General features: G+C 39.1%; 1 protein-coding gene across 4 annotated transcripts in view; it reads left to right on the top strand.

Moving 5' to 3' along the window:
* SNTB1 (syntrophin beta 1) overlaps positions 1-15,777 on the top strand; it is a 276,291-nt gene that overhangs the window by 59,449 nt on the left and 201,065 nt on the right. Inside the window, exon 1 of one of the 4 annotated variants that reach the window (XM_047422127.1) lies at positions 1-15,777. This exon is cut by the window's left edge and continues 27,486 nt beyond it; it is cut by the window's right edge and continues 20,947 nt beyond it. The exons of the other annotated variants lie outside the window; for them this stretch is intronic. The gene's annotated coding sequence lies outside the window, so the exon portion shown is untranslated. 4 annotated transcript variants of the gene reach the window in all.

Genomic DNA, 15,777 nt, shown 5'->3' with positions numbered 1-15,777 from the left:
TATGGAATAACATTGTATCACAGTTTTCTTGTCCAGTTTTCCATTGATGAGTTTCTAGGTTGATTTCATTTCTTTGTTACTGTGAATGGTGCTACAATGAACATAGTTGTGAGTGTGTCTTTTTCCTAGAATGATTGATTTTCCTTTAGATATATACTCAATAATGAGATTGATGGATCAAATTCTTATGAGGGTGGTCAGGGAAGTTATTCTCACTTTACTGAAGAGGAAATTGATGTTCATGTGCTAAGACACAAAAATGTGATTTTTTAAATATTACATATATAATAGGTATGAAACAATATATATGATATATGCATATATACATATACACAGATATATTATAATGTGCTAACTTCAGCATTTCTGTGAGCTTTAACTTAGCCAAGGTGCCTGATCTGAGATCCAATTGGATTTTCATTCCCTTTTGGCCTAATGAACCACATACACCTGCCCTTCTCTTAGGCTTGGCTCTTGCTAATTATCTCTCTCAATTTGATGTTCTTCTCTTCTCACTGTGTATGTCATTTTTAATGAGACAAACCAGTGTTTGGGAGAGGTTTATGGGCAAGAAGAAAAATAAGACGATCACTAACAACTGGCAGCAGGTTATAATGCCAAGATCGTCTACAACATTTTAAATGACATGCTGAGCTGTGTGCTGAGTTGCACCATTTTCCATTAACTGCTTTCAGCCAGAACAAGATGAACAAGTGAGAATGGGTTGAAAAAGCGACCTGATCATAATGACTGCTATTTATTGGGCACCCATTGTGTGCAGACACTGTACTCAGTCCTTGCATATTTTTTTTCATTTAAACCTCATACTATTGTTATCACCATTTTGCAGAGAAATAAATGGAAGCCTATAGAGGTTAAGTAGGTGACTCGAGAAGATATAACTAGTAAGTGATGGAGCTGGTGGTCAGGAATTTCTATATATAAATGTATATATAATAGTTCATTAGAAGGAAGCTTTCAACATAAGTCAAATGCTTATGGGTAAAGAAAAATTGGGGGCCAGTTGTAAGACCAGACATTTACTTCCAGTGCCAATAACAATATTGTCACCATAGCAGGTGCAGAAATGATCATGGGGACAGATTTCTTGCACAAAAAAAAAGTATCCTTTAAGATTTAATTCGTATGGCTATTTGAATGTGCAGTAATAAAAAGAAGTAGGAATAGACACATAGAATAAGTAACTTCAGAGCCTTCACAAAACCCTCCTGTCTGAAAGGATATCCTCTACCCAGTTGTCGTGTCAGAAATTCCTTCCTTAGTAATTAATATCCTTGCATAGTTTTTTTAGGTGTCATCTTAATGTGGACAACATCCATCACATATCAGATTTCCATCAAAATTCAGTTTGTCTTTTCACATTTACTCCCCCTTCTTCCCTCTCCTGAGATAACTTAGCGTCCTCACTCCACTTTTTACTTAAGCACTGAATCTCACTTCATCATCTCTCCTCCATCAGAACTTCTCCATTCTGTGACTCTCTGTTCCTTGATACCTTGTTCTCTAAAGCTGACAGTGGGTGATCATAGGTCAGTTATTAGATGGAATCCTTTAGCCATAGATAATAGGATTTTTCTGCTTCTTAGAAGACAACGTCATAATAGTTAAGTAGCAGGCTGATTGTATGTGTTTTCAACATCTGAATTGTAATATATCCAGATGGGGGGTAGCTTGGGGAAGGGGGATTCTTTTAGATTCTGCAGGAGCTTTTCCCCATACTTAAATTCCTTCCTAATGCATAAAGCTGATTCTGCTTGGAAGAGGGAAGCCAGCCTTTCATTTTCCACCTGACACCTCATGATAGATGGAAATGTCCCTTCCTCTTCTCTTTCTTATCTCTCAGCATCCTTCTTCTCTGAACAAATGAGCATTCATGACCCTTGGTGAGTCAATTTCATTTAAACAGAAGGCCAGATACACCCCAGTGTATTCAATTATTTTATAATCAATTCCCTTTTCGGCAGCATCTTTCTCCCAAGAGTCAGAGGTCCCTTTACAAACTGTATTGGCAACATTATTACAAGTCAGAGCACAGTGACCTGCATCTGAGGACAGCGATTTAAGAGACAGTGAATATGAAAAGACAAATTTGATTTTGATGAATGATAAGAATTTTGTGTGTTATCAACATAAGGTGAAACCTAGAGAAACCAGTTCAACAAATAAATCACCAATGAAGGAATTTCAGGCAAATCAATCGGTGTTGGGGCAGTTAGGAGCTCAGCAATTCATTTCACATTGTAGACACTCTCCATAAAATGATTAATTGTATAAATACACTAATTCAAGATACTTGTTGAGCTTTTGCTATCACCAGACCCTGGGCACAGGGTGCTGGAGATACAAAGGTTTAAGGGAATAAGTAAAGGAAGCGGGCAATGGTGAAAAGGAAGGAATGAATGAAGGAAGGAAGGGAGGGAGGGAAGGAGGGACGTAGGGAAGGAGGGAGGGAGGGAGGGATTATTCACTTTAGTAATTGAATAATTTGTCTCTGACAGGAAGGGCTGGCCTTGCAAGCTCAACCAAGCTTTCTTAGTACTTCTTAATAATTAAAATAATTGGGCTATATGACTAAAAATTTGCAGGTGGAAATTTCTGTTCATGTTCTGTGATTGCTAGAGGTTTATAAAGCAAAAACTTTAAAACTTAGAAAGAACCATGTTATGGCTTTGAGTCAAAGACTTGGACAGTTTTTGCACCTGAAAAAGAAACAGAATCTAGACTCATGAGGAGTTAGGTAAGTTCACAGGAATTAGCAGACAGGAATTCCAAGAGCAGCACAGACCTTTCCGTACTAATGTTTCAAGCCAACCCACATATTGCAGTTGCTGAGCCACACCTAGACTTGCAGCGGAAATGTAAAGACAAGAAAGATATTTGGCTTCTAACTTCCCCTGAGTCTGTTTCAGTTTCCTTTTTTGCAAACCTTTATCAACAGTTGTTCATAAGACTTTCTCAATAACCAAAAAACTCAACAGGCAACCACAAGAGAGGGCCTCTTCACAGCATACAGACAGCCACAAGATACTACCAGAAAAAAATAGAATAAGATACATCACGTAGATACATAGAGAGGCTGTAGTGGTTTATGCAGAGTATATTGATCCAACTTCTAGACATGGAAAAATCAATATATTTAAGTAGCCTCCTTAAAATAAGTTGACTTTTCAGTAAGCAGTTTGGCCAACTGCTAGTGTACAGTGAAAGGAATAATTTAAGATTTAGCCTTGGCCACAACTAGATTCTGCAAACATGTACAGAAGAAAGAGAATGCTTTCCCTTTCCTTTTTACTACCTCCTGCAATCAGTGGTTTGCCCAAGCAAATTTTAAAAATTGGAGAAAACGGGTCTTTGGAAGAACTAGCTAGAAATAGGCTACAGCCGAGACCTCCTAACTAATCTGTTGAAGGACGTCTTCTCGTTCTTTTCCAGGCTTTCCTTTGATTCAATTTTGAAAAATCAGGCAAACTAGAAGATTATTATTATAACCACTGTTATAAGTCATTATAATTTTTTATAATTTAGATTTATATGATTACTGATTCACTTGTATTATGTTCTTATTGGGTGCCAGGTGTCATACTACCCGTTGCCTGTATAATCAGTAACAATAACAAAAATCACTACAAGGTTGGTAGTATTCTTCCTATAATTTGTAGAAGAGAAAAATTTAGACTCAGACAAGTGCAAATGACTTACTGGAAGTCCCACAGCTGTGAAGTTGCATGGCCAGGGACTTAAATGCTTGAGTCTGCCTGGCTGCAATGCCTGGGCTATTTCTTACTATGCCATGTTTAATGAAACTAGAATGCTGCCCTACACAATAAAACAAGGATATGTCTTTAGTGCCATTCTAGTCTTTTGCTGGGTAATGAAGCATTAACAGCATAACCCCTAGAAGAAATTTCCATTTTTTATTTTCCTTTGGAATTATCTGCCTTGAAGGTTCATAGTAAATTGAAGGGCTTACACATTTCTTCTTCTATGGGCAGCTTTATAACATACATATTTTGTATGTTATGTACTGTATTATGGGTCCTGTGAAGTCAAAGTCCCCCTGATCCATGAATCTGACTTTTCCAGACAGCAAATCACTTCACCATCCCTTTCCCTCTAGTCTTTACAATTCCTGCGTGAGCCAGATGCTTCAGAAAACAGATCCTTTGTATTGAATTTCCACACTGCAGTTCCCAGACTACGGAAGGATGACGACCAAATTTTTTATATTTTGTCATCTCTATTTATGTGGATAGATATATATTTAGAACAAGTTAAAAAGGAGGGAGGAAAAAAAACCCACTCCAAAACAAACAACTTCCTGATCTAATACAGAGGATACAGGAGACTTTACCATGAGTAGAATGGACAGGATGTCCACTGTTGCCACAACAGAGCTTATTTGAGTAGAGTCAAACTAATTTATCTGAGAGGATGCCTGGTTGCACAAGAGAAAGGGAAGTGAAAAGTTTGAGTTATTTAGAAAAGCAAACAGTTATTCTTTAGCAGGCATCAAACACTTAAACTCTGGCAAACAAGTCCATTCAAGAGCTCATCACACAGAAAATAACTAGCAATGCATAATATATCTTTTCTATGGCGAAAGAGTAAAGAAAGAAAGAAGAAAAATAATAATTTTATATCTACCCAGAGACAACCATGTTTAAAAATTAGTACATTGTTCTAGACTATTTTGTGTGTATATACATATGTGTGTATGGGTTTGCCTATTTTTTTATATTTTAATTTGAAATTTATGTTAAGTTCATGAGTGCATGTGCAGGTTTGTTATATAGGTAAACTTGTGTCATGGTGATTTGTTGTACAGATTTCTTCACCCAGGTATTAAGCCTAGTAACCATTAGTTATTTTTTCTGATCCTCTCCTTCCTCCCACTCTCCACCCTCTGAAAGGCCCCAGTATGTGCTGTTCTCCTCTATGTGTCCATGTGTTCTCATCATTTAGTTCCCATTTATAAGTGAGAACATGGACCTGGTGTGATGGCTCATGCCTGTAATCCTCGCACTTTCGGAGGCTGAGGCAGGCGGATCAATAGAGGTCAGGAGTTTGAGACCACCTTGGCCAACATGGCAAAACCCCATCTCTACTAAAAATACAAAAATGAGCCGGGCATGGTGGTGCACGCCTGTAGTCCTAGCTACTCAGGAGGCTGAGGTATGAGAGTCGCTTGAACCCTGGAGATGGTGGTTACAACTAGCCAAGATTGTGCCACTGCACTCCAGCCTGGGCGACAGACCAAGACCCTGTCTTAAAAATAAATCAATAAATAAGTGAGAACATGTGGTATTTGGTTTTCTGTTCCTGCATTAATTTGCTAAGGATAATGGCCTTCAACTCCATCCATGTCCCTGCAAGGGACATGATCTCATTCTTTTTTATGGCTGCATAGTATTCCATGGTGTATATGGGGTATGCCTATTTAAACAAAAATAATAAATAAGACCATGTGATATATTCTGTATTTTAACCTGCCTTTTTTTTTCTTTTTTACTTAAAAATACACCATGGACATTTTTCTCTGAAAAAACAATTCATTGCTTCCGAGTATTCCGTGCCTAGATCTACAACAGTTGTTGCTGTGCATGTTGCTCCCTATTACAAACTATTCATGATGACATCCTTGTGACTGACTGAATCCTTGTTCAATACTTACTGATTTCCTTAGGATAAATTAATTAAAGTTGCATGAATGGACTAAACACCATGCACATTTTCAAGATGATTAAACTGTCCCTGGAAACATGGTTTCAGTCTATAGCCTGAATATAGGAAATGCCATTTCTCCCATGTCCAGTAATACTGAATGTTTATTATACTGAATAACGGAAAGAAATCATTATTTTGAAAGCTGCCTGTCTATTCATCTTGATATCATAGTAAACGGCACAGTTAATCTTAAGGAAAGACTGTAACTTTTATTTAGAAAAATGACCACTTGGTTTATTTAGATGTGAAAAGCTAAAGCTGGGGTAGGTAAATTTTTTCTGTAAAGAGCCAAAGAGTAAATATTTTAGGCTTTGTGGGTTATAAGATCTCTGTTGCAACCACAGTTGACCCTTGAACAACACGGGGCTTGGGGCAGCAATCTCTGCGCTATTGAAAATTCACATATAACTTTTGACTCTGTACTCACTTAACCACTAATACCCTACTGTTGACCAAAGTCTTACCAATAGCATAATCAATTAACATATATTATGTATGTTATATATATATTATGTACTGTATTTTTACAATGAAGTAAGCTAGAGAAAAAAATGTTATTAAGAAAATCATACGGAAGAGAAAATATATTTACTATCATTAAATGAAAGTAGATCATCATACAGGTCTTCATCCTCATCATCTTCATGTTGAGTAGGCTGAGGAGGAGGAGGAAGAAGAGGGGTTGGTGTTGCTGCATTGGGGTGGCAGAGATGAAAGAAAGTCCAAGTATAAGTGAACCTATGCAGTTCAAACCTATGTTGTTCAAGGCTCAACTCTGCTCAACTCTGCAGTGGCACCAAACTGTCGTGGATAATGAGTGTGACTGTGTTCCAATAAAACTTTATTTACAAACACAGGTGGATTGGACCCACAGAGCTGGGGTGAACCAACCCCTGGGATAGACCCTTGGGCATGGTCTGTAAGGATTAGATTCAGACCAAAACAGAGCAATAATAGGGTGCATGACGGAGTAACTCTTGGGAGGAGAGGCAGCAGTTAGAGGCAGTAAAGATACGGGGGCAGTGGGACAAGACTTTGGGGTGAGAGAGAGTGTCCAGCGTCATGGCAGCTGTTAAGGATTACAGAGAAAGCCTTCCAGAGAGAAATTCACTATGGTTTGGGTGGGTGGCTGAAGAAATTCAGCTGAGGAATTGCATCATGTCTAAAATTAATTTTAAGATATTTCCTGTTTTGCTCCAAATAAGAGTTCTCCTCCATGTTTCTAAAGCCTTCAGTAAAATGTTACTGACAAATGAGGGAGCTAGGAAGGGCTCCTCCCAAGGAGTAGGTGGAAAAAGAAACATCCCCAGGAGGTGTCATGGTGAATGGAGTGTCTGAGAATTAATCTAGGTGAGGGAATCCAGACAAACTGTGACAGCAGAATGTAATTCTGCTTCTCTTCTGGAATTTTCAGAAGTCCCCTGGGGAATGCTGGCTTCTCTCCGTCTGTAGGATGGGGCTATATCGGGCAAGGTCCTGGCAGGAAATGGATGGAATGCTGGAGTAGAGGTGTGACCCAGGTTATGTAACCAACCACGATGGGGATGATGTCAGGGACTAGTGACAGTGGGGAGCCATCAGCACCCCAAGCATGGGAGGCTGGAGAGGGAGATGCATCAACAGGGGCTGATGAAAGCTGCAGTCAGGGAAGACTCTCCACTCTGCCCCACTGCTAACACTTGTGGCTCTGTGCAGCCAAGAGCAGAGAGGAACCTAGTTGGGCAGGACAGTTAAAATAACCACCGAGACCTCTTTTTTTCCACATTTGTTCTTCTGCCTATGGTCCTAATGTCTGCACCAAATAGAAGTCAGAGGACAAGCAAGACTGGTTAATGAAGCCCACAGAGGTCAGTCTCTCAGGACATCAAGAAAGACGATGGATTTGGGGGCAAGAAGTTGTCATGGAGAGTAACCAGCCATTTTATTTGGATAATAAAAGAAAGCTGTGGAACTTGGGATATCTATATTTTTAAAATCTACCAAATTATGGTATTATATTATTTCATGTAATATATGATTGTATTATTATTTTTAATGTGACAACAATATTAGGTGCTTTGGACATAGAAGAAGAGACAGCAATACAAATACAAATCATACAAATGTGATTTGCAGTTGCTGCTTGTTTTGGTTTTAGGAGTCTGAAATATTTTCCAACTTAATCCATGTTTAGTATCTATTCAAAGTTTCCTTTGTCCAGAAAAAACCTACCAACACTAAAAAATAATAAAATATTAAAATAGAAGGAAAAATTATTCCCACTGAGTTCCCCTGCAATGATAGCAATATATTATATTTACTGGTAAAAATGAAGTTGAATTTATGCCACTTCAAACATACTAAGAGTAACTGAAAGGTTTGCATTTGTATTCTGAGGGGGTGAGAATGATCCATCTTCTGCAGATGAGTCAGCTTCCAGGGTTGGTAGAGGGGCTAAGACAAATGATTGTTTTCTTGTGTAGCTCAAGGAATCTTTGTACGTTTTTCTGTTGCAGCAAATTGCATTGCTAACATTGATCTTCATTTGCTTAAATGGATGCATTAGTTCTTAGAAGGAAAGGAGAGGTGCTAGTTAATTTTTAGAGTAAGAGATGTAGATGTACTCTTCCAAGCATTGATTTAATCAGCTTCTCTTCCCAATGGAACTGGAAATAAATCGAAGTGAAGACCTGAATTTCCCCATCCCATTACCTTCTTGTATGAGGGATTCCCTTGCAAAAAAAAAAAAAAATTGAGACAGGGTCACCCAGGCTTGAGTGCAGTGGCACGATCTTAGCTCACTGCAGCCTCAAACTCCTAGGCTCAAGCGATCCTCCTGCCTCAGCCTCCCAAGTAACTGGGACCACAGGCATATGCCACCATGGCCGGCTAACTAATTTTTATTTTGTGTAGAGACAAAGTATACTATGTCACCCAGGCTGGTCTTGAACTCCTGGCTTCAAGCGATCCTCCTGCCTTGTCTTCCCAAACTGTTAGGATTACAGGCATGGGCCACTGCACCCAGACCCAAATTAAATTTTTATAAAGAAATGACATTTTATTGTATTGGACCCTGTGATATAATAGTAGTGGGCTCCGTACTTTAGTGTGAGATACACAAGTTTAGGAACAGATTTTGGCTATTTCATTGCCACCTGCCAACGTTGTAATGATGACACCCAGAAAAACCCCACACCTCTAAAAGTGCCTCTGTCATTAGACCACCTGCTTTTTATTGAATGTTTCATTCATAGATTGAAAGGGGGTTTTACTTTATCAGGAAACAGGGAATTACTACTTCTACCTTTGCTGCAAATCAAACTCCATTAGAATTTCATCTTCCTTCACTGAGGCACAACCCTTTAAACACAGGTCTTTGCATGACCCCTTATGCAACTTTCCATTAATACAGTCCGATCACTCCTGCCTGCATTGCGGATATCAGTTAACATGAGTAATGCTGGCCAGATATCAAGAATGTCAATCAAGAAACAAAGGAAAGGGTGTTTTATAATTACAAAACCGTGTTTTATAATTACCTCTGTGCTACGTGCAATTTCCTGACCCCAAATGATAATAAAACACAGTCATCCAATTACACAGTCAGCCAGTCTATGAGATCTGTGTCCTTTGAAGATTAAACTTCACTAGGATTGTCCTCACATATTTGGTCTCTACTAATCAGAAGTTTCCTTGTGGAACAATTGAGCAGAAAAACCCATAAAGAAGAATTTCTGTTCTATAGTACAGTCACTGACTTGCTTTCAGAGAAATGGTAGTCCCTGTGGTGACCTCTAAAGATCCTCCAGAGAGCTCCCTGCAGTAGACTCCTACCTCACTTTACTTTTTTCTAAATATCTTACTTCTGCACACTTGAAAGTCTCTGTACCTCTCCTCTTCTCATTTTCAAAAATATGAATTTTTGAAATTCGTATCTGGCTTTATGCTGGTCCCCAGAGATCACTGTTGGTTTCACTTGTTCCTCACCAACACTCCCAAGGTGTGAGTTGATCTGTCCTCCCCACTCTCTGCAAGACCCAGAAGAGAGCCCTAGTTTAGTGTTTAGAGATGCATGCAGTGTTTAGCACCTTCTTTGTGTAAAGTTCCCTATCTAAAAGATACCTATCAGTCTGTTAATTTCTGGAAAAAGGAAGGAAATGTCTTACTGTAAGAGGCAAATTCATTACTCCAGTCTGTAAAGGCACCATTTAAATAAAGCTCCTGAAAAGAACAGCTGAATGAAACACTGCCCATATGACTTAGAAGAGTTCACCAATGTGAGAAAGGTGGAGAACTTATGCTGTACCTTCAGCTGTAGGAGGAAGCTCAGCAAGGAGTCCTGAGCTGAGACAGGGATGCTCAGGTGCCATCCTGTGACTCGATCCCTTTGCTTCCTGTAAGAAATAAATCAGAAATAAATCACCTCAGACAAATGTGATGCTTTCAGTTGCTTACATCCTCCAGAACAGGCGAGCCAGTCACCTGCCTCAGTAACTTATCCCTTAGTCATTCTGGGTTGGTACACTTTTACTGATATCTCATGAAAATTCTTTTTATTGCTTTTAGAATCAATGGAACACAACATCCAAGAGAATCAAGAAAATCTTTTTTAAAGGCACAGCTTTCTAACTCAAAATGGTTTTACTTAAGCCAGGGGCCATAAGATGGCAGGCAGTGCTTTGCTTGGCTGTCAGAGGAATTGATTTTTCTTTTTAAGTTGAATGTCTTTGCTTCTGTTCTCCTGTTTTCAGAGGCCCTATTATTTCCTACAGTTGTTCATCCAGCCCATTCACCTGTGTATTCTACCTGCCCATCCCCTATGGATTAAACTTTTACTTCCTCAACTTTGTTTATAAAACACAATATTTATATGGCTACTTCTGTATCTCTTACACATACCCTAACTCAATACTGACCCTGGAATACTTTGGAGAATAGAGTTGAAGGCTTTGCATGTCACATACAGTCTTTATGGCATACTCCACCTCCTCCTTCTCCCCACTTTCTCCTCTTCCTTCTCTATTTCTCCTTCTTCTCCTTCTTTTTCTTTTTTACAACCTTTAAAAATGTAAAAACTATTCTTAGCATGTAGGTCCTACAAAAATAGACCAAGAGCCAGATTGGCTATAGTTTGCTGACCACTGATATAGAAAAATGAAAGTGGAGAAGACACTTAGATTCATGTTTTTAAAAATTAGGAGGGGGTAAAATACCATACTTCTTGGGTGTTTGTTTCTTTGTTTGTGTGTTTGTTTGTTTGGAGAGGGACTCTGGCTCTGTCACATCACCCAGGTGGGAGTGCAGTGGCGTGACCTCGGCTCACTGCAACCTCCGCCTCCCAAGTTCAAGCAATCCTCCCACTTCAACCACCCGAGTAGCTGGGACTACAGGGGCTCACCACCAGACCCAGCTAATTTTTGTATTTTTAGTAGAGACAGCATTTTGCCATGTTGGCCAGGCTGGTCTCAAACTCCCAACCCCAGGTGATCTGCCCACCTCGGCCTCCCAAAGTGTTGGGATTACAGGTGTGAGCCACCGTGCCTGGCCGTAAAACACTATACTTCTAACCACATGTATCTGAGTCTGAATTCGTAGAACATGAATCAAAATTGCCTAGAAATGCTTAAAACAAAGAAAGAAAATCAATGACTCGTTGCCATGAAGACTTAGTAAATTTGGACATGAATCTCTAATATGATCATGTGAGGTTAATGTCTCATCCAAAAGGAAGAGAGCTGTATAAAGTAGAAGTGGATACACTGGACACCAAGAAGATGCATCCTTCTGTGCAAACGCACTGCCTGACATTAGCGTGTGGACAGGACTGATGTGATGTTATTGTGCTAGTGATTAAAGTCACAGGCTGTGGGATCAAATCCTTGCTCAACCACTGACTAGCTGGGAGGTAACCAGTCTTAAGCTCTCTGGGCTTCAGTTTCCACATCTGTGAAATGGCTGTCATCATTGTAACCACTTCCTAGTGGTTGTGTGCTGTTGAGAAGATTAAAAATGCTTGATACATTTGGGTAATAGAATGTGTTAAAGTTTTTTCTTTTTCTTTTTCAATTTTATGTGCTGCAAAAAATAATAACAAAAAGTGATTAAAAAAAAAAGAAGAAGAAAAGAAAATAACTGTGTTTGGATGTGCCTACAGGCCGCCCATCATTCTCTCTTCCGGACAAAGTCTAAATCAGTTTTTCCATTTGGGCCAGAGCTTCCTATTTGCTGCTATGGAGACTGTTGTGGAATGCCTGGAGCTGCTTAACATAAGGCTTAATTACCCATGGCCTGTAAGCCAGTTCCAGTTCCCCACCTCTTTTTTCTTTATTTGCCTAGGAGTTAGGTTGTGTTGATTGTTTGCTGTAACTGTAGATGTCAGAGCTAAAATTTCTTCTGGCATCCTCTTTCCTTCTACCTCAAGTCCTTAAAATATGTCTGACACATGGAAATGCTCCGTAAATATTAGTTATTATTATTGTGATTACTCTTTTTGTTTTACTGCAAAATCAATGAAAGGAAATGGATAATTTTCTTCTGAGAGATCATACTCTAGACGAAAGATGCCAAGGTGATGGAGGATCTGAACCTGGATGCTTCATTCTATATAAAATATAACATGTGCCAAGTTCTTGACTGTGACAGCTTCATGGCTCAGAAGGTGGAGGAAGTGATGAGGGCAGCAGCTGCTATGGACCATCTTGTCTTCAGCCAAATATATAAGAGGTGCATCACTTTTCTTCCAGCTCTCCTCCTGTCACTAAATTTAAAGAATCTAAGTATCCACCCTCTGGCAAAAACAGATCATGGAAAAGAAGCAAGTAACTGCTTTCCTGCTGAATTTCTCTTAGGGCCATTGACTGATTTCCCCTGGGTATAGACAGGTTACTCTAGGAACATGGGGTCATGTATGGCTGTGCCATTTTTAATCATGCCAGCTCTGACTCTTCCATTAACTTTGTAATTTGAATATGTCACATGGTAGTTATGATCCTCCACTTCCTCACCAATAAAATGGGAGTAATAGCGACACTTCCCCACCTGTGCAGAAGGCAAAAATGTAAAGAAGAGTTAAAAAGCACTCGACAAGCCCAAGTGCTTTGTAAATATTTAATACTTAGTAGTTGAGGTAAATGTCAGGAGAATGTGGAGCCCAACATGAATCTTTTTGTTATGACAGCTCTTTAGATGTGTTTAATTCCCCAGTCCAAACACAGAGAACCCTGAACTTTTCTGACCCTTTCTCCTTGTCTTATTTTTCTTCTTCTACTATGCCCAAATATTTCCCATCTACCATTAAATGACAGTTCATTCGAATTCCTCTACAAAAGATAATTTTAGTTTATTAGGATCCTGCATGGGCTGCTCTCCACTTTGAGTTCCTAAATGCTTGTACAGAAAAACTTAGGTTTCTTGGGAAATTCCCTTTTTTGACAAAAACACCTCTTTGTGTTTGAAAAGGACTGAATGCCATTGTCTGAGAACAACCCCCATTGTTGGAAGTCCTCACTTCTCATTAGGCTAGCTCGTTTCCACAGAAAGGCTCAAATAATTTTCTTTCAACTTCACAACCCTACTGGGCCCTTGAAACTAAGCAGATTTTGCACCTGTTCCCCTGAGGAAGGTTTGCTGATTGATAGGAGGGGTCTAGGTAAATTGAGTATAAATAAACAGGTAAAAAAGAGAAGGCTTTTAAATAATGCATTGGGGTTTTTCCAGAGCAACTCTGTTTTCTCTTGAAATTACTAGAGATTTTCAGTAAACATTTGCCTGGATACATTTTCACAGAGGAGTTTGCCGCATTCTGAGGACCTCATTGGCTCCCACTGTTCATTGCTATGCCCATCTCACACCCACTTCAACTGTCAAACAGAAGAACAATTCTTATTAACAGTGATTTGCTTTGCAGTTTTAGTTTATTTCTAAATTGCAGACATGGTTGATGAGTGAAGTTGTTTTAGTGACTGTTTATTGGAACAGAGCAGAGAATAGAGTCAGGAATTCTTGAGGCTGCCATGTGTATGGTGAAAAATAGAAATAAAAACCATGCCATTTTGCTTAAAAAGAAAAATCCCCAGAAACCTTAATGGTGATACATGCAATCTGAGGCTAGATAGCTTGTATTTGTAGTGTGCTTTGCAATTTTCATAGGACTTTTATGTGCATTTTCTTCTCAGCTTTAAAGTACTTGTTTTGAGGTTTTTGGTTGATAACCTCCAGTAACAGCTGTAGAAGATAGTGCTAGGATGGATGATTGTGAGTTATAGGGAGGAACATTGTTACACTAAGAAGGAAGGAAGGAAGGAAGGAAGGAAGGAAGGAAGGAAGGAAAGAAGGAAGGAAGGGAGGTAGGTAGGTAGAAAAGGTCAATGAGCCTCTCTAAGACTTGCTTTCCTTTTCTAAAACATGAAGATAATAATAACTCTTACCCTATCTGTCCCGTAAGGTCTTCGATCACCTGCAGTAGACTGACTCTACATTAAAGTATTGCTTCATCCAAAGAGTACTTTAGAAGCTTTAGTGGGTGTTATTGGTTACATTATTATGACTTAGGAAAAGTTGATGTCTTCATCTGTTCAGGCTGCCCTAACAAAATATCATAAACTGTGTAGCTTATATACAACAAAAATTTGTTTCTCATGATTCTGGAGGCTGTGAAGTCCAAGGCAGATTTGGTGTCTGGTGAGGGCCCACTTATGGTTCATAGAAGGTGTCTTCTTGCTGTGTCCTCATAGTAGAAGGGGGAAGCACTCTCTCTCAGGCCTCTTTTACAAGAATACTAATCTCATTCATGAGGTCCTTATGACCTAGTCAACCCTCCAAGGACCCCATCTCCTACTGCTATCACCCTGGGAGTTAGGATTTCAATATGTGAATTTGGGGAGGATACAAACATTCAGACCATAGCAGTTGGTCCACCCAAAATTGTTTCATTCACTGGCCTACTGTGCTATAAAGTTCTCACTTTGGGAAAATAACACACTAACTCTATAGCATTTATGGACATATCAACTGGATTGGCTCAGCCACTTATATGTTGCCTTCTTAGGAGACCTAAGAAGAGTGAAAAATGGGATTATACATTATGACAATTGAAAGGGGTGGATAAAAGCTCTGAATTGGAGGATAACAGAAAAGAAATGAGGTTTGCATTGCAAGGTAGGTGGAGAGCATGCTGAAGCCAGACTTCACCAAGACATACCTTGACATGGCTGGCCCCAGGTTTGCCCTCAGCCATACAAATCAACAGCTGCTGTGTTCTCCTAAGTGACTCCTGAACTCTAATCTCTGCATATTGCTTGTGATTAGATCTCTCTGAGCTTGTTTTGGTTTTCATTTTCTTCTATCAAAAATTGCTAGTTCATAAGATATGTCAGAGTTGGACACAAATTACTTTTCTTCCTCTCTTAGAAATGACAAATGACTTTTCTTCCTCTCTTAGTATGTTCCTTAGAAGTAACATACACTATACAGTCATGAGATTTCTTTGAACTGAGAACAAATATCTAGCTGTCTTTCATTTCTTTGGTGCTTCATAGTCGACAAAGTGTTTTTTCATGCTGTATATAATTTATTTAGTGCAGTAACTCTATGAAGTAGGTAACCCCAATACTTTTAGGAAAATTAAGGTAATACATACCTACCTTGCAAGGTTGAGAGGATTAAATGGGACAACATTTGTAAATAACTTTTCACAACCCCCTGGGCATAGAGAAAAGTCTTATTTTTAATACCCATATTTTATGGATGAAGAAACAATTTCAAAGGATGTGTGATATGCTCAAGGTCACACAACAAGTTGAAGATGGATCTATCACTTGGACTGCCGCTCCATCATGCTAATATATCACGTTGATGAACAGTCAAACCATTTGATATTTAGGTTTAAATTCCATGTTACAAACTTTTGAGGAAGAAAGTGAGACACAGAAAGAAGGAAAGAGAGAGAGATGGAGAGAGAGGAGTTTAAGAACACTGATGGGCTAAGACACAGGTAAGACATGTTGAATACCTCCCCCAGGTGTGATTAGGATATCACGTAAAAATGATGTGTGC

The sequence above is a fragment of the Homo sapiens genome, chromosome 8, assembly GCF_000001405.40.
Source record: "Homo sapiens chromosome 8, GRCh38.p14 Primary Assembly".
Classification (NCBI taxonomy): domain Eukaryota; kingdom Metazoa; phylum Chordata; class Mammalia; order Primates; family Hominidae; genus Homo; species Homo sapiens.
The sequence above is the reverse complement of the archived record's forward strand: the minus strand, read 5'-3'. Positions and strand labels throughout refer to the sequence as shown.